At 39.1% G+C, this 22,471-nt stretch overlaps 1 pseudogene, besides 1 other annotated feature; it reads right to left on the reverse strand.

Annotated features, from left to right (window-relative positions):
- Positions 4,878–5,814, reverse strand: RPL7L1P7 (RPL7L1 pseudogene 7; annotated as a pseudogene).
- Positions 12,320–13,044: an enhancer, noted in NCBI's record as "H3K4me1 hESC enhancer chr3:138807775-138808499 (GRCh37/hg19 assembly coordinates)". NCBI's record gives its function as "activates a minimal SCP1, AML or CMV promoter by ChIP-STARR-seq in naive H9 embryonic stem cells {active_cell/tissue: H9 hESC(naive)}" and the evidence as "EXISTENCE:reporter gene assay evidence [ECO:0000049][PMID:30033119]".

Genomic DNA, 22,471 nt, shown 5'->3' on the forward strand with positions numbered 1-22,471 from the left:
CATTAAAAAGTAGGCAAAGAACATGAATAGGCATTTCTCAAAAGAAGACATACCAATGGCCAATGAGTTTATGAAAAATGTTCAACATCATTAATCATCAGGGTAATGCAAATCAAAATCACAATGAGATATCACCTCACCCCAGTTAAAATGGTTTTTATAAAAAAACAGGGAATAAGAAATGTTGTTGAGTATTTGAATAATGGGGACCCTCATACACAGTTTTTCTGAATATATATTGATGCAGCCACTATGGAAAACTGTATGGAGGTTTCTCAAAAAACTAAGAACTACTATATGATCCAGCAGTTCCACTACTGGGTATATATCCAAAAGAAAGGAAATAAATATATTGGAGATATTTGCACTCCTATGTTTATTGCAGCACTATTCATAATAGCCAAAATATGGAGTAAAAATAAAATTAAAATAATTAATATTCACAAAGCATCTATAGCAGTGCTCATCAATGGAGGAATGGATGAAGACAATGTAGTATGTATACAGAGGGGAATATTATTCAGCCATAAAAATAATGAAATCCTATCATTTGTAGCAATATGGAATGGGACTATGGATGGTTATTACGTTAAGTGAAGTAAGCCAGACAGAGAAAAACAAATATCACATCTTCTAACTCATATGTGGGACTTTTAAAAAGTGATTCTTTTATGATAGAGAGTAGATTGGCAGTTACTAGAGGCTGGGAAGGGTGTAGAGAAGGAGGGGATGAAGAGAGGTTGAGTAATGGGTATGTATGTACATAGTTTGATAGAAGAAATCAGACCTAGTGTTTGACAGATCAGTATGGTGACTATAGCTTACAATAATCGATCATATATTTCAAAGTAGCTAGAAGAGAATAATTTGAATGTTTAAAGCATAAAGACAAATATTTAACATAATGGATATTACAATTACACTGATTTGATCTTTACAAATTATATCCATTTTTAAATTATCACATGTATCCCCTAAATATTTACATCTATTATGTATCAATAACAGATAAAATTAAAAAATTAATATTCATGAAACATCTATTGCAGTGCCTGATACATAAGTGCCATTGAGAGCTTTTATTTTTTTCAGTCAGCTTTTAGATTTATTATACTACTATTTTCTATGTTTCTTTCTTTTTTTTAATTTTGAGACAGAGTCTTGCTCTGTTGCCCAGGCTGGAGTGCAGTGGTGCGATTTTGGCTCACTACAAGCTCCGCCTCCTGGGTTCACGCCATTCTCCTGCCTCAGCCTCCTGAGTAGCTGGGACTACAGGCGCCCACCACCACGCCCAGCTAATTTTTTGTATTTTTAGTAGAGACAGGGTTTCACTGTGTTAGCCAGGATGGTCTCAATCTCCTGACCTTGTGATCCACCCGCCTTGGCCTCCCAAAGTGCTGGGATTATAGGTGTGAGCCACCGCACCTGCCCTTCTATGTTTCAGTTAATTTTAACTTCTTGAGTTTGATGCTTCATTATTTATTTTTATTCTTGCTTATTTATTAAGATAAATATTTAAGGTTGTGAATTTTCCTCTGAGCACTGCTTATGTTGTCTCTTGAAAGTTCTTACATGTATCCTCATGGGAGTAGGGGTTTTTATTTTCTGATCATGTCATTAATTTCTAGTTTAAATGCATTGTGGCAGATTGTATTTTGTTTTATTGTTAGATTTTGGCACTTAAAAAATATTTTTAGGCCCAACATTTGTTCAGTTTTTGAGAATCGACAAGGATGTGTGAAAAGAAGGAATATTATCTATTTTCAGATATGTTGTTTGATATATATTAATTAGATTTTCTTCATTATGTTTTTAATGTCTTTTATATTCTTAATTATTTTTCGTGATCTATCATGAAAACAAAGTGTAAAAATGAATAAAATCTTCAGCTTCTAGTGTGTTTCTGTTTCTCTTGAAGGTTTTATTTTATTAACATTGATAGTGTATTTTTCGATGCATAGATATTTGTACTGGTTAAATCATCATTGTGAACTATACTTTTCTACATTGTGAAGGAGGCTTCTTTTTTTAATTTAATACTTTTGCTGTGAATTAAAGTTGGTTGTACAATACATTGATATCTTGTTTTTTGTTTTTTTTCCACTTGGTATACCATTGCTTATTTTATTTTTTAGCATTTTTGAATTATTTTGATTTGAGGTGACTCTTACATATAAAATAAGAGTTGCATTTGGGTTTAGGATCCAATCTGAACGTCTTTTTGTTTTAAATAGGTGAGTTTAGCCTGTTTACTTAGGTTGCTAACAATATATTTGGACCTAGTTCTGACATGTTATGTTAAAAAAATTTCACTATGTGATCTGCTTATTTTTCTTTATTCATTGGAGTATTTTAAGAATTAAAAAAGTTTGTAATTTTGTTCTGGTTATAGTTATTATTTTATATAATAGTTTTAGTCATCTATTTCTGTAGATAGTATCTATTCATTTTCCACTATGAGCAATGATGAAATTATTCTTTTTTCCTCCCCACATCCTCTTCTTCCTCTCCTATTATATAGGTGTGATTTCTAGCAGGTTGTATTGTCATAATTGACATTTATCTTAGTGCTTTTAGATATATTTATAACTTTATTTATTGATTTGTTTACTTTAACTGCTTTTTTTCACCAGCTATTAAAGAAAAGGAAATTAATGTACTTCTACTACTGGCCATTTTTTTTACCCCTCTTCTTCCCAACTTTAGTTGAAAAATTTTAAATTATAATCTGACATCTGTTTTGATTTTACTTTTACATATATAAGTAATTTTTTGATATTAGTTGACTTAATTAATTTTTTAGGAATATTATAGGTTTATAGAATGATTATGCAGATAGTACAGAGTTCCTGTGTCTACCCTCCCTTCAGAGTTTCCCCTGTTATGAACATCTTGCTTTAATGTGGTACACTTGTTACAATTGATGAACCATTATTGATAGATTATTAACTGAAGTTTATTTTTTACATTAGGGTTCACTCTTTGTTGTGCAGTTCTATGGGTTTTGACAAATGCACAATGTCATATATTTACCATTACAGTATTGTTTGGAATAGTTTCATTGCTCTAAAAATCCACTGTGCTCCAACTGTTCATCTCTCTCTCCTTTCCCTTCCCCTTGGCAACAATTGATATTTTTACTGTTTTTATAGTGTGCCTTTTCCAGAGTGTCACTTATTTGGAATCATACAGTATGTAGCCTCCTCAGACTGGCTTCTTTTACTTAGCAATATGCATTTAGGTTTCCTCCATGTCTTTTCACGGCTTGATAGATTTTTTAAAATGATAACCTCTTTTATTTATATAGAATTATAAATTACAAACTATTATTTTGCTTAATCCATTTAACCACCAAGTAAGGCAGACAGACTAGAGGATATTAGCTCCATTTTACAGGCGAGAGTGGAAACATTGTTCTCATATTTAGTATAAGACAAGCTGGGATATGATCATGCCCCTGCACTCTGGCCTAGGCAATGGAGTGAGACCTTGTCTCTTAAAAAACCAAGACAGTGATGTGATGTAAGCCTTGGGTTTCCATACTCACAACTGCTTCCCCCCAATCCCATGACTTTGTGATACATCATTTGAAAGTAATCTGATTTCATAGTGTTTTACAGTATAAGAGTAACATCTATTCCTGGCAGTTTAACTCTGGAGACAACCAACCTAATTACCTCATAACCTGGCACATTTTAAGGCATTGTTATACCTCTAACTTAATTTCACAGCTATATTTGAGGGCTCCATGAATCAAAATTGCAGCAAGCTGATCTGAAAGGACCAGGAAACACAATGGTCAAGCATATTTTCAAGTTTAATCTAGATTTGGCACATCCTCACCAGTTGCTCTGATGGCAAGCAGAGGCAACTAAGTGAATGGAATAGAGGGCAGGTCCATTTAATAGAGGTGGATATTGGTCAAAAAAATACAAGCAGTTTCAGACCCCTTTTTCAGGATTAAAATCCCTGGAAGCTCTGTTGCTGGACTACTACATCATTACCAGCAAGACAGAGGGCAATGCTTCTGGAGTCCAGAATATGCAAGGAGAAGGTCAATTAAGCTGCCTGCCTGGGGCCTAGGAAGCCAAATAAAGCTAATTTCATCTATGCAAACCAAGAAAATGATTCATTCCATCCAGATCTGTGTTTTAAGGAGAAGTATAATCATCAGGGAAACCAAAATTCCATCCTGAAGCCCAGGGGGAATAATGGTGGGCATTTCCCAGTATCATAGATGGTGCAGAGGGCAACACAACATGCCACTGTGAAGGGAAAAAGCTATCTTGGTAACCAGATGCTAGCAACATCAAAGCCTGGGTGACCAATCCTGATAAGAGCAGGACTCCCTTATATAAGGTCCCTGAGGAGAAGGGGTTATGAACATCCTAAAACTGCAAGCAACATTTTGAGTATATGCATGTTTTCCTGGTGAAGGGACCCTTCATTCTCAAATCCTGAGCCAGCAAAAAGGACTAAGCCAGTTGCAGGCTAGGATTAAAAAGCCACCATATAGACTTAGAGCCAGGCAAGTCTGAGAGCTCTCAAAGCCATGACTGAAAAGTTGGAACTTGGACTCACAGCAGAGAGAAGTGAACACTTGCTTTTGTGCTTGTCTTCCTAATTGTATTTCAAGTCTTTTCAAAATAAGGCCCTAGGACTTCCCAGTTGTAAGTATGCCCCTGGGCTTGGTCCACTGCTGCAGGAGTTTTAGGGGTCCTTGTAGAAAGGGGTCCTTGAGTTATTTATTCACCAACATTAAACCCTAGGGTAGAAGATGAGGCAAAGCAAGACTCCTTCCTTCATGGCATGTGCTGATTTCAGAGGAGGCAACAGCCAACTTGGAAAACACTGAAAATTTTCCTTGGAACTGAACTGTGATGAGAGGTGACTGCCATGCACACAACCTACTATCTTTTGTCTAGCCCTTCCCTTCCAGTTTTTGAAGACAGAGCAGAAAATAATCTCTCAAGATACTTGATAATTTCAAAAAACAAAAACATGTGCTTCCAATGCACTGTGTTTTCAGAAATTCTGTGTCTATTTCAGTTGGAGGATGAGCTGATTGATGTGTTCACCCTGATAGCCAGGTGAGCCCATATCCTTGAAGAAGTCCATTCTATTATTGGTAGCATGATGGGCCATTGAGAGGTAGAAGGGGCACAAGAACCATGAGATCTCTTGGAAATTCTTCCCAGGGAAGGCCATTTCATGACGGAGGTCTTCCAAGCAAATGACACCAAACCTCCCCAGGTGCTCCTTAGTCACTGTGTTGTCTGATGGAGGGATGGTCTTATTCTTAACCTTGGCTTGCACACGTTTCAAAATGAGTTCCTGGACAGACTTCAGATTTGGAAATCCCCAGGTCACATAAGTTTCCACTTTTAGGCTCTGGGGGATGACTTTGACAGACACCACAGAAAATCTTCAGAACTCTTGCAGTGTTCCTCTGCACCAGTGAACTCACCCCATTAATCCTTTGGATGTATACAACAGAGGCCAAGAAAAGTTTATCTGGCAATTCTAAGGCATGAGGCTTCACTTCTAGTCATAGGAGATGCACCCTGCCACATTTCTGCTGCTAGGAATCATGTAGGACGAATTCCAGTCGCTTAAACCTGAGCCTTCTTCCTTTCCTCTGCTCATTCTTTACCAGAAGTGCCTACTTTGCCTGGATGGCTTTGAGGGCTTGAAAAGTCTTCATCTTTTTCAGGAGATATTCTGGAATCAAAGGGAATTTTTTTCTTTGCTCTTGCTCTGCCATCTTTCTAGGCTGCAGCCACTGATCACGCATATCACCTGATCCTGCACATGCATGCCCTGTAGGAGACAGAGTGGTCTGCCGGCAGGGACAGCAAGAGACTAGCTATATGAGACCAACTGAGGCTCCATGGCACTGCCATATCATTCCAGATCAATTTTTTTTATTTGTAGATATCTGGTTATTGCACCACTATCTGCTGAAAAGACTGTCCTTTCTCCATTGAATTCCTCTTGTTTCTTTGTTTCTTTGTCAAAGATGAGTTGAATATATTTATGTGGGTTTATTTCTGGGCTCTCCTTTCTGTTCCATTGATTCATGTGTCTGTTCTTTTACCAATGCCGCACTGTTTTGATTGCTGTAGCTGCATAGTAAGTCCTTGAAGTTAGTGTTACTCCTTGGACTTTGTTTTTCTTCCACATTGTGTTGGCTATTCTGGGTCTTTTGCCTTTGCATATAAACCTTAAAATCATTTTGTTGATATTCATAGAATAACCTGCTGGGATTTTGATTGGGATTGTGTTGAAACTATAGATCAGGTTGGGAAGAACTGACACCTTGATAATGGTGTCTTTCTATCCATGAACATGGAATACCTATTTATTTTTAAAAGATCTTCTTCAATTTCTTTCATCAGAGTTTTGTAGTTTTCCTCATAGATCTTGTACGTATTTTGTTAGGCTTCTACCTAAATATTTCATTTTTTATGCTAATGTAAAGAGTATCATGTTTTTAATTTCAAATTCCAGTTGTTCATTGCTGATATATAGGAAAGCTATGGACTTTTAAAAAATATTAACCTTATATCCTTCAACTTTGCTATAGTTGCTTCAGATTCCACTAGTGTCTTTCCTGTTTTTGAGTTTCCCTAGAAATTCCTTCTTAAGTAGAATCTGAGCTTTGCAGTTCTTTCAGCTGTAATCTCCTGTTATTAGATAGGAACCCTGTTGATGTTATAGATGGTAGAATTATATGGGGAGGGGACATATTCAATACTCCTATGGTTAGGTCTCAGTCTTTTAATGGGTGTGAGCGCCTGGTCTCTGACATTCACAAGTGTGCCTCAGATATTGTATTCCTTCCTTAGGTGAGACAGGAAGACTAGAGAGGACTGGAGTTGGGTATTTTCCTTCCCGCATGCTGGTTAGGCTCTGGTTATATCGTTTCCTCTGAGGGCAGGCTGCTGTCACTGGAGAACAGAGAAGAACAATCCTGGGAGTATTTCTAAAAGGCTACTTTACCCCTGGGCATATTTCAGATCGTTAGCCCCCTACCCCCACCCCCTGCCATGAGCATGAGAGGATTTTCATTAGATTTTCACCCAGGTGGGGCTTCTTTAAATAGAACTCAGGGAAGTGTGGTCCTCTCCAAAGCTGAACCCCCGACCCTGGGAGTATTTAACCCCCAAGGTAGTCCACACTCAGCTTCTGGCAATCTGTCAATTCCCATTTAAGTGTTCCTATCAATTCCTGGCTCTAGTAGCTTCTGCTTTTGGTAAGCTGTGATTCTCTGTATTCACTTGTTTCTCCAGTTTTTCAGGTAGCAGTTTGCCCTGTGACCTCAATTCTCTGATGGGTCTAAGAAGGTTGTTGATTTTTAGTTTGTTCAGCATTTTTTGTTGTTGTTGTGAGGATGGAAGTGACAGCTTCCAAGCACTAAACATCAAAGCTGAAACCAGAAGTCCCTTATGAATTTTTATAATGTGAACATACTCATGTAAGCAGCCTCCAGAATAAGAACCATGACATTACCAGCAACACCCCAAATCCCCTTTACAGATGCTAACTCCTCCTTAAAGATAATCAGTATACTGACTTTTATCACCATAATTAGTTTTGCCTATTTTTGAATTTTTTATAAATGAAATCATTCAGTATGTATTTTCTTTTTATGTCTGGCTTATTTTGCTCAGCATATGTTTAGGAGTCATCCACATTGTTGGGTGAAGTAGTAGTTAATATATTTTCATTGCTGACTAGTATTATAATAGTCCTCCCTTAACTGTGGTTTTGCTTTCTGCAGTTTCAGTTACCAGGGTCAACTGTGGTTCAAAAATATTAAGTGGAAAATGCCTGAAATAAACAATGCTTAAGTTTTAAATTGCATGCAGTTCTGATTAGCATGGTGAAATCTCACACTATCTGCTTTGGCCTGCCTGGGACATGAATCCTCCCTTTCTCCAGCATATCCATGCTATATATACTACCTTCTCATTACTTACTTAGTAACTCTCTAGGTTAGCAGGTTGTCAGATAGACTGTTACAGTATCACAGTGCTTGTGTTCAAGTAACCCTTATTTTACTTAATAATAGCAAGAATAGTGATGCTGGTAATTCAGACATGCCAAAGAGAAGCTGAAAGTACTTCCATTAAGTGAAAGATGCAATTTCTCAACTTAATAAGGAAAGAAAAAATTGTCTGCTGAGGTTGCCAAGATCTACAGTAAGAACGAATCTTCTATCTGTGAAATTGAGAAGGAAAAAGAAATTCATGCATAGTATATTTAGGATTCAGTAGTATCCACAGTTTTAGGCATCTACTAGGTGTGGACATGGAGGGACTATTGTCACTGTAACTCTGTATCACAATTCAGTTTTTTATTCTTTTGTTGGTAGACATTTTCATTTTACTTTTTGAGCTATTACAAGTAATGCTGTTACACATTTCTTTGTACATGTCTTTTGAGGCACATTTGTAAGCCTTTCTGTTGGGTGTATACCCAGGAGTGCAATTGTTGGGTTGTAGAATGTGTGATGTTCAGCTTTTGTAGATACTGCCAAGCAGTTTTCCAAAGTAGTTGTACCAATTTATATTTTCACTAACAGGGTGTAAGAATTCTAATTGCTTCACATTGTCACTGATGCATGGTATTGTTTATCCTTTACATTTTAGCCATTATGGTCCATGGGTGGGTAAGTAGTAGTAACTAATTGCGTTTTAATTTATGTAACTGTGATGACTAATGAAACAGCACACCCTTACATGTGTTTAATTTCAGGAACTCTTATGAAGTGCCAGGAGGCTGAGGCCTTGGGAGGATTGCTTAAGGCCAGGAGTTTGAAACCAGCCTGGGCTACATGGTGAGACCCTGTCTCAAAAAAAAATCGTTATATACTATTTATATCATTTATGTCATTAAATTCTACTCAGTTGCCTTTTTCTTTTTAATTTGTAGGAGTTATTTATATATTTTGGATATGAGTTATTTGTTGGACACATCTATTGAAAATATCCTCTTCCACTCAGCTATTTGCATTTTATTTTATTTAATGGTATTTTTTGATGAACAAAAACTTTACAGTGGTAATATATTCTAATTTATCAGTTGTTAATGATTAGCAATTTTGTATCTTTTTTAGGAAATCTTGTCTATCCCAAGTTTATGAAGATATTTTAAAATGTTTTATTCTAAAATTTAAACTGATTTGGCTGTTATTTTTATATGTGCAATCCATCTGGAACTGGTTTTTGTGTTTAGTGTGAGGTAGGGTGCAAAAATTTATTTATTTTTATATGGATATCTATTTGATCCTGTACCATTGAGTGAAAATCTGTCCATCCCCCTCTGCTCAGTAGTCTAATCTTTGTCATAACCAAGTAACTGTATATATGTGCGTTTGTTTCTGGAATCCCTAGTTTGTCACATTGAGCTATTTGTCTCTTCTTTGCCAGAACCATACATTTAATTGTTATTGTTTTACATAGCTTGAAATCTGAAAGTTTAAGTTCAGCTTTGTCCTTTTTCAAGGGTTCCTTGTCTATTCTTGGCCCTTTGCATTTCCATATAAATTTTAGATTCAGTTTTTAAATTTATATACACACACACACCATGCCGGGATTTTGGTTGAGGTTCAGATCTCCAGAAGTATTAGTGGGAGCAATAGTTCCTTAATTCTTGCATGTCTAAAACTCTTTGTTGCTTTTATAGTTGAATATCAGTTTGGCCAGTGTAAAATTTTAGAATTGCCTTTTCTTTCTTTGCAAATTTTACAGGAATTACTCTAATTTTTAAATTTTTATTTATTTATTTTAACTTAAAAAAATTTTTGGCTTTGCATGTTGTAGAGAAATCTCAAGATGGCCTGATTATTTCCACCTCAAAAGTGACTTGATCTTTGTGCCTTCCTACCCAGGTTTTTTTTTTTCTTTAAATTTTGAAGCCCAGAGATTTTTGCTAGAAAATGGCTTAGTTTTAAATATTTTTTCTCTGTTTTCCCCAACACATGGTCAATATGTAAAGTCAAAATTTTTCTTATGTCACGAAAATTATCTATAATTGTATCTTAAAATATTTGTTAAGTTGCATTGTTTTTTTCTGTCCTCCAAAGACTCTAATTATACACTGTTCATCTTCTTTGTCTTCTGTATCTGTAATGTTTTGTCAATTAACAAAATACTTCCTTTTTATTTATTTTCTGACTTATATATACATACTATGCCCCTTGCAGGGTTTTAGAAAATGTCTGTTCTTTCTCGTCTGTGTTCCAGTTTTGCCTTAATTGATTTCCAGTTCAAATTTTATCTTCTCTTATTTTCTCACCATTTCTTCTTTGAACTCTTAGTACATTTACTAGGTACTCTTGTTGCATAGAGGTGATTGTTTCATTAAGATTTCTAAATTAATGGCAAATTTATTTTCCTTCACAATTTTAATCTTCTTTGCATTAATATTTCTCTTAAGTATATTTGTTGTCTGCCATCTGTTTTTCTCATTTGTTTCTTGTAGCATCTTTGAATAGTTCCTGTGCTGATTCCTTTTAAATTATTCATCTTTGAAGATGACGAGGCTTTACTAGACTAGCTATTTTCGAGAGGTTTGTGAGGAAGAATGGCCAGGGCTTAGTTACAGGTTAGGTAGAATTTTTCTTATGATTAAGGCTTTTATTTGTGAGTTTGTTTAACATTTATTTCATTCTAGTCCATAAAATAAGCAGCTGTAGAACTTTTACAAAGCAAAGTTTGTCTTTGTCTCATTGCCTGAGTAATATGACTTGTCTGTGTGATTCTTTGTTTAGCTGAATTTGCCGTGTTTCTTGGAACCAATGTGAATTCAGAAGTGCTCTTAATTTTAGTCCAGAGACTCCTTTCCAGCTTTTGCAAAGAAAGGATTGCAGAGATATACCTTGCTGATTCTTAGTGACATCTGCCTAATCTTCCCACCTTTTGGCACTTACTTAGTGGTTTGGAGTTTTAGGGGGCTTTTAGTTTTACTGAAAATGGAGTTTGGAGGCTTTTCCCCCTTTTCTATTCTTGTTGCCTTTGGGATAATTTCCATTAAAAGAAGGAGGGAATGTTCAAACTGAAAGTCAGCATTCACGTTAAAATATGATAGCACTTTAAAGACATTCCATTCACATTTCTACCAGCAGTACATGAGTTTCTGTTTCTCCATAACTTCCACGACACTTGCTTATCAACCTTAAATTTTTTTTCTCAATAAGTAGGTAAAAGGCTGGGCGCTGTGGCTCACACCTTGGAGATGCCAGGAACTGCAGGGCCTCAAAGAGGGAGTTACAGCCCTGGCTCCAGGAGCTCCCAGTCTGGGCTCCCTGAAGGACCACAGCTCTTCTTTCCTTCTCTTTGCCCACAACATAGCGAGCAAGGGGTATGTCTCAGCCCTGTTTTTATTATAGCTCTTTTAGCCTTATTTGGTGAGTCCCAAGTTCTTGTCTTGTGCCCAGGAAGAATGAGGTATGCAGACAAGTGGAGGGTGAGCAAGACAAAGAAGAGCTTTATCAAGCGATAGAACAGCTCACGGGAAACCCACAGGGAGCAGCTCCTTTCTGCAGCCAGGGTGTCCCAATGAGTATTCAGCTCCTAGCATAGAGGATAGCTCCTCTCTGCTAGGCAAGTCATCCCAATAAGTGTTCAGCTATCAGTGGAGAGTGTAGCTCCTCTCTGCTGCTGGTCATCCCATCGTCTGTGCAGCTCTCAGCAGAGAGGAGGCTCTAGAGTGGGTAGCTCCTCTCTGCAGGCAGGTCATCCCATCATTTCTGCAGCTCTCAGCAGAGAGGAGACCCTAGAGTGGGTTGCTCCTCTCTGCAGCTGGTCATCCTGATGTATGCTCAGCTCTGAGCTTGGGCTTTTATGGGCCTCAGAGGGGAGGAAGTTCATGCCATTTGGCCCATGGGTGGTCACGGGCAAGCCCAAAAAAGGCACCACAAGTTCCCACTCCAGTCCACGGGACTGGCAGCCTGGCCCCCAGCCTTCAGGCCCTCCCTGACCTGAAGGTGAGAGCCTCACTGGGGACCTGCCCCCTTCCACCCAGGAACTGTCTGCCTTCTGCCGCTGTTCATGGCATCCAGGCTGTAGGTGCCAAGGGGTGCCTGCAGGCCAGCGCTGAGATGCCCTCAAACTCTCCTCGGCTTCCCTCCTATGCTTGTCAGTGCCCAAAGTCTGGAGCGGGCTGAGGTGGCAAGAAGGAGCTGGTGTGTCAGCACTGCTCCAAGTGTGTGCACACCTAGGCTGCAGCAGTGCCTAGGCTCAGCCCCAACTTTGCTCTGAGATTGGAGTGGGCACTGACAGCAGGGAGAAGCCAGGCAGTGGGAGCAGGCACTTGCAGAGATGCCTGGGTCTTCAGACATGGTATTGGGAGCAGGCACATGCAGAGATGCCTGAGTCTGCAGCCATGGATTGAGCAGCTGCAGCTGTGCCCAGGGGCTCAGGTCTCCTGCCTGCTCTGTGGAGTGGGAGAATTGGGTTTGCAGCCTCTGTTTGGGTGGCTGCAGCTGTGCCTGGGAGGGTAGGGCTCCTGCCTGTTCCTAGGCCCCAAGAGCACAGGAATGCCTGGACCCAGAGCCATGGCTTGGGTGGCTGCAGCAGCACCTGGGGAGCTCCTGCCTTAACTCTGAAGGAGTGGGGCTCCTTCTTGTTCCCAGCTCCTACCAGCTCCATGGAGTGTGCAGCCCCGGGCACGCCTACCTGGTGCAGCCAGCATGATGGTAGTGGCTACTCCAGATGGCTCACCACTAGCTAGGCCTTGACTATAGGGAATGTCTCTAAATTTTCTCCCCTAACTTGGATTATTGTTGTAGGTTTCTGTTAGATTATCAACTTGAGGAATTTTTCTTCAGTTGGTAGTTTGTCAAGAAATATTTTTATTTTCTTAAAAAAATCAAGAATGGATGTTCAAATTTATCATGTGATATTAGCATGTACTTTCTTTAGGTATTTTGTATTTACGTTCATAAATGTGGTTGGCATAGCTTTCTTTGTTTATGCTCTTCCTGGTATAAGAGTTATGCTAGCCTTGTGAAATGAGTTGTAGCTATCTATTTCGTTTTTCTATGCTCTGAAATGGTTTCCACAACCTAGGATTTTTCTCTTCTTTGAAAATTTGGCAGCATTTGCTCATTAAATTTCGTAAACATTAGGGTATTTTTCCATATTTTTTGTCATTATTGGTCTCTGAGAAAAGCATAATTTCAACTCCCCTCACCACCACCCCAACAAAGCATTTAAGGATACAAATCTTTTGAGCTCCTTGCTTGTTATACCCTATAGTTTGTAACTTCTATTTCATTTCTAGTTGATAATAACTATTTTGATTTTCTCTCTGACTTAAGAATTAGGTAGAAATTATAGTTTCTAATACACAGATATTTTCAAACTTCTCATTATAATTTTTATTTTTAATTCTATTGCATTGTGTTAGTGAATATGGACTGTATGATTTCCTTTGTGGCCTAATACGTAGTCAATATTTCAATGTTTCATGTGTATTTTATGAAAATGTGTATTTTCTATTTGTTGGGTGCAATTTTCTGTGTTTTACAGTTATAACCAATTTATTATTGTGTTATTTAAGTCCTTTTGGTAGTATCCAATAGAACTTTCTGAGATGATGGAAATGTTCTGTATCTGCACCATCTAATAAAGTAGCTACTAGCTGCATATGACTATCAAGCACTTAAAATGTGTCCATTGGGACTGAGGACCTAAGTTTTAAATTATATTTAATTTTAATTATTTTAAATTTAAATTTAAACAGTCATGTTTAAATAGGCTACTGTATGGATGGCACCTCTCTTTATAATTAATTTTGGTCTAGTTTATCTCTTAATTTCTGAGAGGTGTTTAAAAATCTTTCACTAGGACTGTGGATTTGTTGGTTTCATTCTTCTTGGCACTCAATGGGCCTTTTCACTCAGAGACTTTATGTCTTTCTTCAACCTTGGGAACTTTTTTCTGATTATTTATGCGAGTGTATTCTCTCCTTCTATCTTCTCTAATCTTTGTTTCTGAGACCCACTTTTTTGGGTAATATTTTATCTCTTGGAATTCTGTTTCTCCTAATCCTTTTTAAAAAAATTTCCATTTCTTTGTTGTTTTGTGTTGTGCTCATGGAGAATTCCTTGAGTCAGTCTTCCAATTACTTGATTTGCTTTTAGCTGTGTCTAGCCTTTTATTCAGCTCTGATTTATGATTCCATTGTAAGATCCCAAGAACTTTAATTTTTTATGGCTATGATTTTCTCTTGCACTTTTATGTACATAGTGATTACCCTTATTGTAAAAACTTACTCTGCTGTATTAAGTCTCCTTCTTTGGGTGTTCATGTGTGTGTTTGTATGTGCACTTCTCTTTCATGGGCTGATTTTTTGTATCTGAGAGTTTATTAGCCTGTGGATGCTGAATTTGTTAACTACACTCTGTGATTATGTGGGGAAGAGTACTTTTCACAGAGTGTGCCACTAGTTTGTCTTTTGGCTGTGGGAGCACCCTGTTCTTCAGGGTGTGTTCAGGCACTCCATGTACTACCCTCATTCTGTGGTCTCCCTTACTGACCCCACTTGGGCTATATATCATTACCTGGTCTTAGCAAGTAAGGGTCAAAGGAGAGGATGATCCCATCTGGCTGCTCTTCCTGTGGTTTCGCTGACCAGTTACCTAGCAGGTTGTCTCAAGGCCTGTTTGTTAGGAACTGTTAAGATCTGAAATTTTACCTTACTTGCAAACTAACAAGTTAGTCTGCCACAGTTTCATAGATGTTGGCAGAAGACATGAGACCTCTGGGTTGGAGACAAAGGATTTCACTACTCATGGTTCATCAGGCAGCATGAAGTTGTTTGTCATGTCAATTCCCCTTGCTTCTTCCCAACACCCTCAAGTCCCACAGGAGTGACACAGAGCTGGCTCATGTGGATGCATATGCACTGAGTTGTTGTCAAAGCTGAAGGACCTCAGGCTTAGGAAACTCCAATCTTTTATAACGGGCTGCAGGCAAACTTACCCAAAATTTGCCCTTGAGGGTGACATTATTTTTATTGTACTAGACAGAAACTAATCGTGTCCCCTGCTCCTGGAGGGAGATACTATCTCTATCTTCTATGGCTATCTCTATTCAAACATCTTTGAAAGGATAGTCTGGAAGAAAAGCTATCATTGCCTCTTTTTACAAGATTTGCAGAAATGTGGGAGAACTTTGTTCCAACACTTTCCTGCTTCTGGAATCCACTACCTCTGAGCTTTGAGTAGCTTTGGGGTCTTGCCTGTTTTTATGCTTCAGGTTCTTTTGTGCATGAGTTTTGGCTGTGATTTTCTCTTTCAAACCAAGTAAGTTCCCCTTGTCTTTTATTTTTCAGGGATTCCTGAAATCTCTGGCTTACAAAGACCACTTTGTCTAATTTTCTAGTGCTTTTAAAGTGGGGAACAGTGACTCTGGAGGCCACAGAGAGTAACAATAAGAATTATTGTGAGCTCTCTAGGGGAAGGTGATCCCAGGCATCTCTCCTGTTGCTGTTGGTCAGCAAGCCATGTTGATTGTTGCATCAGAGCCTCTCTCGAATCCATCTGCTTCTCTCTTCAGTGACATTAACTTACTAAGACCCTCACTAAGATGATCTCTTGATGGAATTATCTCTCACTAGGATTATTCCACTAGAATGTCAGTTCCTTAAGGGCAGGGATTTGTGTTGGTTTTGTTCACTGTTTCCTCACTGCCTAGAACAACGCCTGGAAACTTTACTAATGAATGCCTTTTATTTTTCAAATAATAGCTTCATTGAGATATAACTGATACACCATAAAGTTCACTCTTCTAAAGTGTATCGCTCAATGATTTTTAGTATATTCACAACATCATGCATCAATTACCCTACCTAATCCAGAATATTTTAATCCCCCTCCCCCAAAACCCCATCCCTGTTAGCAGTATTAGTAGTTACTCCCCATTCTCCCCTCTCCCTAGCCCTGGGCAACCACCAGTCTACATTCTGTTTCTATGAATGTGCCTATTTTGGACATTTCATATAAATGGAATCATACAATATGTGATCTTTTGTGAGTAGCCTCTTTTGTTTGACGTGGTATTTTCAAGGTTCATCCATGTTGTAGCATGTGTCAGAATTCTTCCTTTTTATGGCTGAATAATATTCCCTTGTATGGATATACCACATTTTGTTTCTCTCCTCATCAGCTGTTGCACATTTGGGTTGTTGCCACTTTTTGGCTATCATGAATAATGCTGCTCTGAACATTCATGGACAGGTTTTTGTATCGGCATGTTTTCAGTTCTCTTAGGTGGAATGGAGTGGAATTGCTGGGTTATGTGGTGACTCTATGCTTAACTCGATGAGGACCTGCCAAACTATTTTTCAAAGTGGCTGCATCATTTTACGTTCCCACCAGCAATTTCTCCATATCTGCACTAATACTTATTGTCTGTCTTTATGATTATAGACATATTAGTGGATGTGGAGTAGAATCTCATTGTGGTTTCGATTTACATTCTCCTAATGACTAATAATATTGAACATCTTTTCATGTGTTTATTGATTATTTGTATATCTTCTTAAAATAAATGTCTATTCGAGTCCTTTGCCAACTTTTAAATTGGATTCTCTTTTTATTGTTGAGTTGTAAGAGTTGTTTTTGTATTCTTGATGCAAGTCTCATCAGATATATAATTTATGAATATTTTCTTTGATTCTGTGGTTTGTCTTTTCACATTCTTGAGGCTGCCCTCTGAAGCACAAAAGTTTTACATTTTCATTATGTTCAATTTACCTATTTTTTCTTTTTTCACTTAGCTTTTTTGGTGTCACATCTAAATTGAATGAATGTTTGAACAGTTTCTTAACTACTTCCCTTCTGTTGCATCTGTCTTTTCCATTATAACCAAAGTAAGTATTTTAAAAAGAAAATTTTATCATTTGTTACCTATTCCAAATCCTTAGTTGGCCTTCAGTGACTTCACTTTGCTTTCAGGAGAAGTCTAAATACTGTTTTGTGACTGCAGACCCTCAGTGATGTGGACACATCTGTGTTATGTAGTGGTACTGGCTTCTACCCTAGTTGGATCAATGACTATTGTTCCTGTTCTCTCTTTCTCTTTACCTTTCTCACTAGGGCTTATAGCTCTATGCATGTGAATGAAAGTAACATTGTGGAGAGATGAAATTACATAGGACCATGACAACATGATAAAAATGTCTTAAAAATGGGCTTTCTGTAATAGAAATAAAATTCAATCCTGGAAATCCCAAGTATGTGCTAATAAGGAATGAATTTATTTCAAAGGCAAAAGCTGCATTAGATGGTGATCTGAATGACTTCTTATCAACTTGAATGCCTTTTCCTGTGCAGTGTGCAGTTACTCTCAGGGTGAACACTTCTGAACTCCCTGGGAGAGCTGAAGGCTTCTCTGGTTTCAGTGTAATTCAATTTAACCAGCGCTGTCATAGCATCTGCAGCCTGAAGCTGTTTCCCACCCAGATACCACAGTTCAGGGTAGACATGGAGGAGGCAAGGAGAGGAATTATGCAGCATACACCCCCAGTTGTTCTCCTTGGGAGGTGGGGGAATGGGAGAAGGGAATTAAGGGCATCTACTGGATGCTGGTTAAGGTGCTGGCTGCTTTTTATATATTACAGCATTTAATCCTCATAGCAGTCTAGTGAGGTAAGCCTTATTATACTCATTTTTCCAGAAACCTGTCTCTTTCGGCTACCCAGGCTCTGCTCTCATTGACCACTAGATGCCCCATCTGAGAGTAGGAGAACATTAGAAATGCTCCATCTTGACTCCACACTCCTCTGGCCCAAGGTGCTGTCATGAACTTGGGCTTGTAGATGGTGGAACAGTTTGGGATAAGCTAGGTTGGGGTCCTGTCCTGAGGCTGCCTTCCAGGACTTCTCCTTACTCTCTTGGAATATTTATCTTTCCAGCCCTCGACTGTCATTTCTGTTGGGTGATGCTCACCTGCCTTGTAGCCCACAGTGTCTGTATCTCTCTATGGCTTCCCTGGAGCTAGGGCTTCCCTGGAGCTCCAAGGTTCTGGCGGGGGGGAGGTCCAGCCCTCTGGGAATTTCTGACAGGATGGTGGGAGAGCCTCTGTCTCCATTTCCTCAACACCATTTGTTGTGTGGGAGGCACTGTGTCTGTGCAAGGATGTGGTGGTGAGGACGAGAAACAGCTCCTGTCCTCATGAAGCTTACCTTCTTATGAGGGAGACCATTAACCAATGAGTAAACAAACATAAATAGCATCACTACAAATGCTGATGAGAGCTGTGAATGAAACAGACGGGGGGGATATACTTTAGATGCTGGGGACAGATCTTCCAGCTAAGGTGAGAAAGATGAGCAGGATTCAGTTGAGGTTCCTTGAGTAGGAGTGGTCCAAAAGTCCTGAAGACAGAAAGAACTTGGTGTTTTGTGGGGCATGAAAAGGGGTATGCAAGACGAATGGATAGAGATGGGCAGGAGCCCAATCATGTGCAAACGTGTTAGCAAAGGAAGTGAGTATGGATTTTTTCAGGGTATGTGGAAAACTATTGAAGGATTTAAAGCAGGGAGTATGTGATCAGAGCTGTTCTTAAAAGATTTGTCTGGCTCCTGTACAGAGTTGGCATTGGAAAGAGTGGGCACAGTTGTTCACTGGAAAGAAAATAGTGACTGGACTAGGTAAAGGAGAGAGGTGGAGGATTCCAGAGATGTTCACAAGGTAGAATGTTCAGAACATGCTGTTGGGTTGGATGAAGGGTTGGGTCAGGTGGGTTGGGGAGCAGCTGTCCCAGCTCCAGATACCCCTGCTTCCTGGCTTCCCTCACTTTCTTTATTCACCACCTCTGCCCCCAGCTGCGTGAATTCTTCCCTCCTTCCCCTCCCCATTGGCAGCCACCTCTAGAGTTCCAGCTTTGGGAATCTCAGGTCCTCCAGTGAGTGATCCTGGCCTGGCCAAAGTACAGCAGCCTCCTTTACCACTTAGCTTGGCTGAGGCAAGGTTTGTGTTTTTCTGTTAAAGGAAGTTTAGATCATGAAACTAAGGAGAATGGAAGATGAATCAACTCACCAACATCAACCAAAAAATTACATAACCTTTGCAAAAAGAGAGTTCAGAATGCAGATTCTTTCATGTAATTATAATTTGGTAAGCATCTCCTGAATCCCTATAACTAGCTGGCTTCTAGGAGATTGGGGATGAATCCCAGAGGTTCTTGCCCTTGGGAGCTTGCAGGCTAGTGGGAGAGACTGAGAGAGGAGGCAGCCTTAGGGTAGAGCATGGTCAGGGTCTGTTAGGGCCAAAATGGTGGGCAGCCCAGATGAGGTGGGGGTTGAGGGAGATTGTTTTCTTCTTGTCGTGTTTGCCACAGATCCAGCCCCCCAACATGTCCAGCCTGCAGTGGCTCCTCTGGATTTACTGGTCAGCCAGATGTGAAAAGGTCAAAACCTTGGGAAACGAAAGCCTGACTTGAGCCAGTCTGTGCCAGCACTAAGCTTTCCCTCCCGGGATTCCCAAGGCTGGCAGGACTCCCTCAGGTGGGCCAGCAAAGAGGAAACCATCTGTGGTTGGAGCCTGGAGGGACGACCATAGATTTGGTGAGGCAGCCTCCCTGGACAGTCTGAGACTGCAGAATCAGGGCAGGGGGTGCCTCTGCTTTCTCACTGGCTCAGTTAGCATAGGAGATGGTGGTAGGGCTGTGGCCTGGACACAGAGGGGCACAGCCTGGGTCCAAAGAGTCCTGGGATGAGTATAGGCCCAGGGGATTGCCCCAAGCTCCTAAGCAAGCTCCCTAGTAAGGCAGGTCACTAGGCAGAAGGTAGAAGGCTCTTTCACCTGGGGCTCTGTGGAAAGGGGAGACAGGAGCCTCTGTTGGAATGTTAGAACAACCACCCTCCATTATGGCAATCACAGTTGCTGTCTGTCCCTGTGATTCACCACTTACCAGAGTTAGCTGCATTTGCAGAGAAAAACATTAAATTGGAATCCTAGGTCTGCCTCTTGGCTGTGCATCCTCCCTTAAGTACCTTCCTCTTTCTGGGCCCCAGTTTTTGCACCCATATAATGAGGGGATGGGGCTAGAATCGAGCACTGAGCAACACTTCATTCTGTAGAATTCACTTTGGAGCCCACTTTCCTTCTCTGGCCTTTTCCCTCTTCTCTTCCTCTCTGTCCTCATATCTCTCCCCACCCCACCATGGTGCCTGGGGCCCAAATTCTTTCCAGGAGCTCTACAGCAGGGGGCAGTTGAGCCACCCACACTCCTCCTTTGGAGGCAGCCTAATCTGCTGAGACAGCATTTTCAGAACAAGCACACCTTTCCTGCTGTGTTGATCACTTCTCATGGCACAAGTTTGGTGTTTGTGGAGAGACCCTCTTCCTCAGAGACTCAGAGATGAGATGCTCTTCCATCCCCTGTCATGAGGGACAAGGGTGGCATAGAGGAATCAACTGCCACCTATGCTTTTCTCTACCTTTTTCTCTAGTTTCATTTCTTGTTTGATAGTTTCTAGTTTGTGGGATCTGGAGCTGGACTGATTTGCATTCTGATCCCTGCTCTTCATAGCTTTATGATCTCTCCAGCACCATTTGCTGAAAAGTTATTTTTCTCCGTCCAATTATCTTGGCATCTTTGTCAGAAATCAATTGCCCATATGCGTATGCATCAGTCTCTTGACTTTCCATTCTGTTCTGTTGATTTGTATTTCTCTATGCCAATGCCATTCTACCTTGATTACTGTAGCTTCCTAGAAGTCCTGAAATCAGGGAGTGTAAGGCCTCCAACTTTGTTCTTTTTCAGAATGTTTGGCTATTCTAGGTCATTTGGTTTTCCATATAAATTTTAGAATCAACTTGGCAAATCCTTTAAAGAAAGGTGTTGGGATTTTGATTGGTATTTATTGAATCTATAGGTCCATTTGGGGAGAATTGCTCTATTAACAATATTGAGATTTCCAATTCATGAACATCAACATTCTCCATTTATTTAGGTCTTATCTATTTTTGTTGTAAGTGTTCATAGATTTTTGGTTTTGCGAACTACCTACACTGCCTGTTTTTATGCGGGGACCTGGGAAGATTAAACAACTATGCTCTCACCACTGCTGCCATCTTTGCTAAATCTCTTTTACCAACTTCTTGAAAACAATGCTTAGTTCATTAATTTTTATTCTTTTTTATTATAAAAATAGGCATTTGTGACTATAAGATTTCCTCTAAGCACTGCTTTAGCTGTATCTGGCAAATTCTGATGTATTTTTGTTGGCATTCATTTCAAAATATTGTCATTTTTTATTGGGACTTCTTTGATCCACTGATTATTTTTAAAAATTATTTAATTTCCAAACATATGAGTATTTTTTGTTATTGTTACTGATTTTAACTTAATTGCATATAGGTAGAGAACATGCTCATGATTTTAATACTTCTCAATTTGTTGAGATTTATTTTATGGTTTAGTATATGGTCAGTTTTGTCATTTTTTGTGTACTTGAAAATAATTTTTATTCTACAGTTGTTGGGTGCAGTGTTGTATATGTTCATTAGTCAAATGTTGTTATAATGTTCTTTATCCTCAAGTATTTTTCATCTGATTGTTTTTAACAGTTACTGATTATTAAATCTCTCACTTTGAGAATATATCTCTTTTCCTTGTAGATTTACCTAAATTTGTTTTACATGTTTTGAATGCATATTATTAACTGCACATACATTTAGAATTGTTTTATCTTGCTGATGAATGGAATCTTTTGTCATTGTGAACTGGCTCTCCTATTTTCTAGTAATGCTTTTTGTTTTAAGGTTTTCACTGTCTGATGTTGGTATAGCTACACTGCTTCTTTGGGTTATTGATTGCAGAATATATCTTTTACTATCCTTTTACTTATATAACCTTTCTATTCTATTATATTTTACATGTTTCTCTTTTTAAACATATTTGTTTAAGTTAAAAATACTTTTGACAATCTTTTAGCTAGAGTCTTTTAATTGGAGCATTTAGTCCATTTACACTTAATGTATTTAAATCTACCATTTAATTATATGCTTTCTATTTGTCATATATGACTTTGGTTTCTCTTTTCTCTCCTTTTTTGCCTTTCTTAACTTTCTCTTTTGGATTTTAAAAATTATTCCATTTTGCTGGTTAGTTTAGAAACCACGTACTTTTCTACTATTCTCTTAATGGTTATCATATAGATTGCCATGAGCACTGTGCATTTCTTTTGTCCCCAGTGCTTGCTGTGGCTGAGTTCTTAATCAGCAATCTGTGTTTTGCTTGCGGTGTGTGTATGTGTACTTACTGCAGTCACTGTGGAGCTTTCTTTATGTCAATCTGATGGCCATTACCCCAGTCGTTTCACCCCTGACAGCACTACCCACCCAAAGCAGTATGGTAGATTTTAATGAAGGATTTAGTCGGGGGAAAGAAATTATATCTTGAAGAAACAGAGAAAACAGCTTCAAGTGGAATTTTTGGCATCCTTACTC

Source organism: Homo sapiens, chromosome 3, assembly GCF_000001405.40.
Source record: "Homo sapiens chromosome 3, GRCh38.p14 Primary Assembly".
In the NCBI taxonomy this organism is placed as follows: Eukaryota; Metazoa; Chordata; class Mammalia; order Primates; family Hominidae; genus Homo; species Homo sapiens.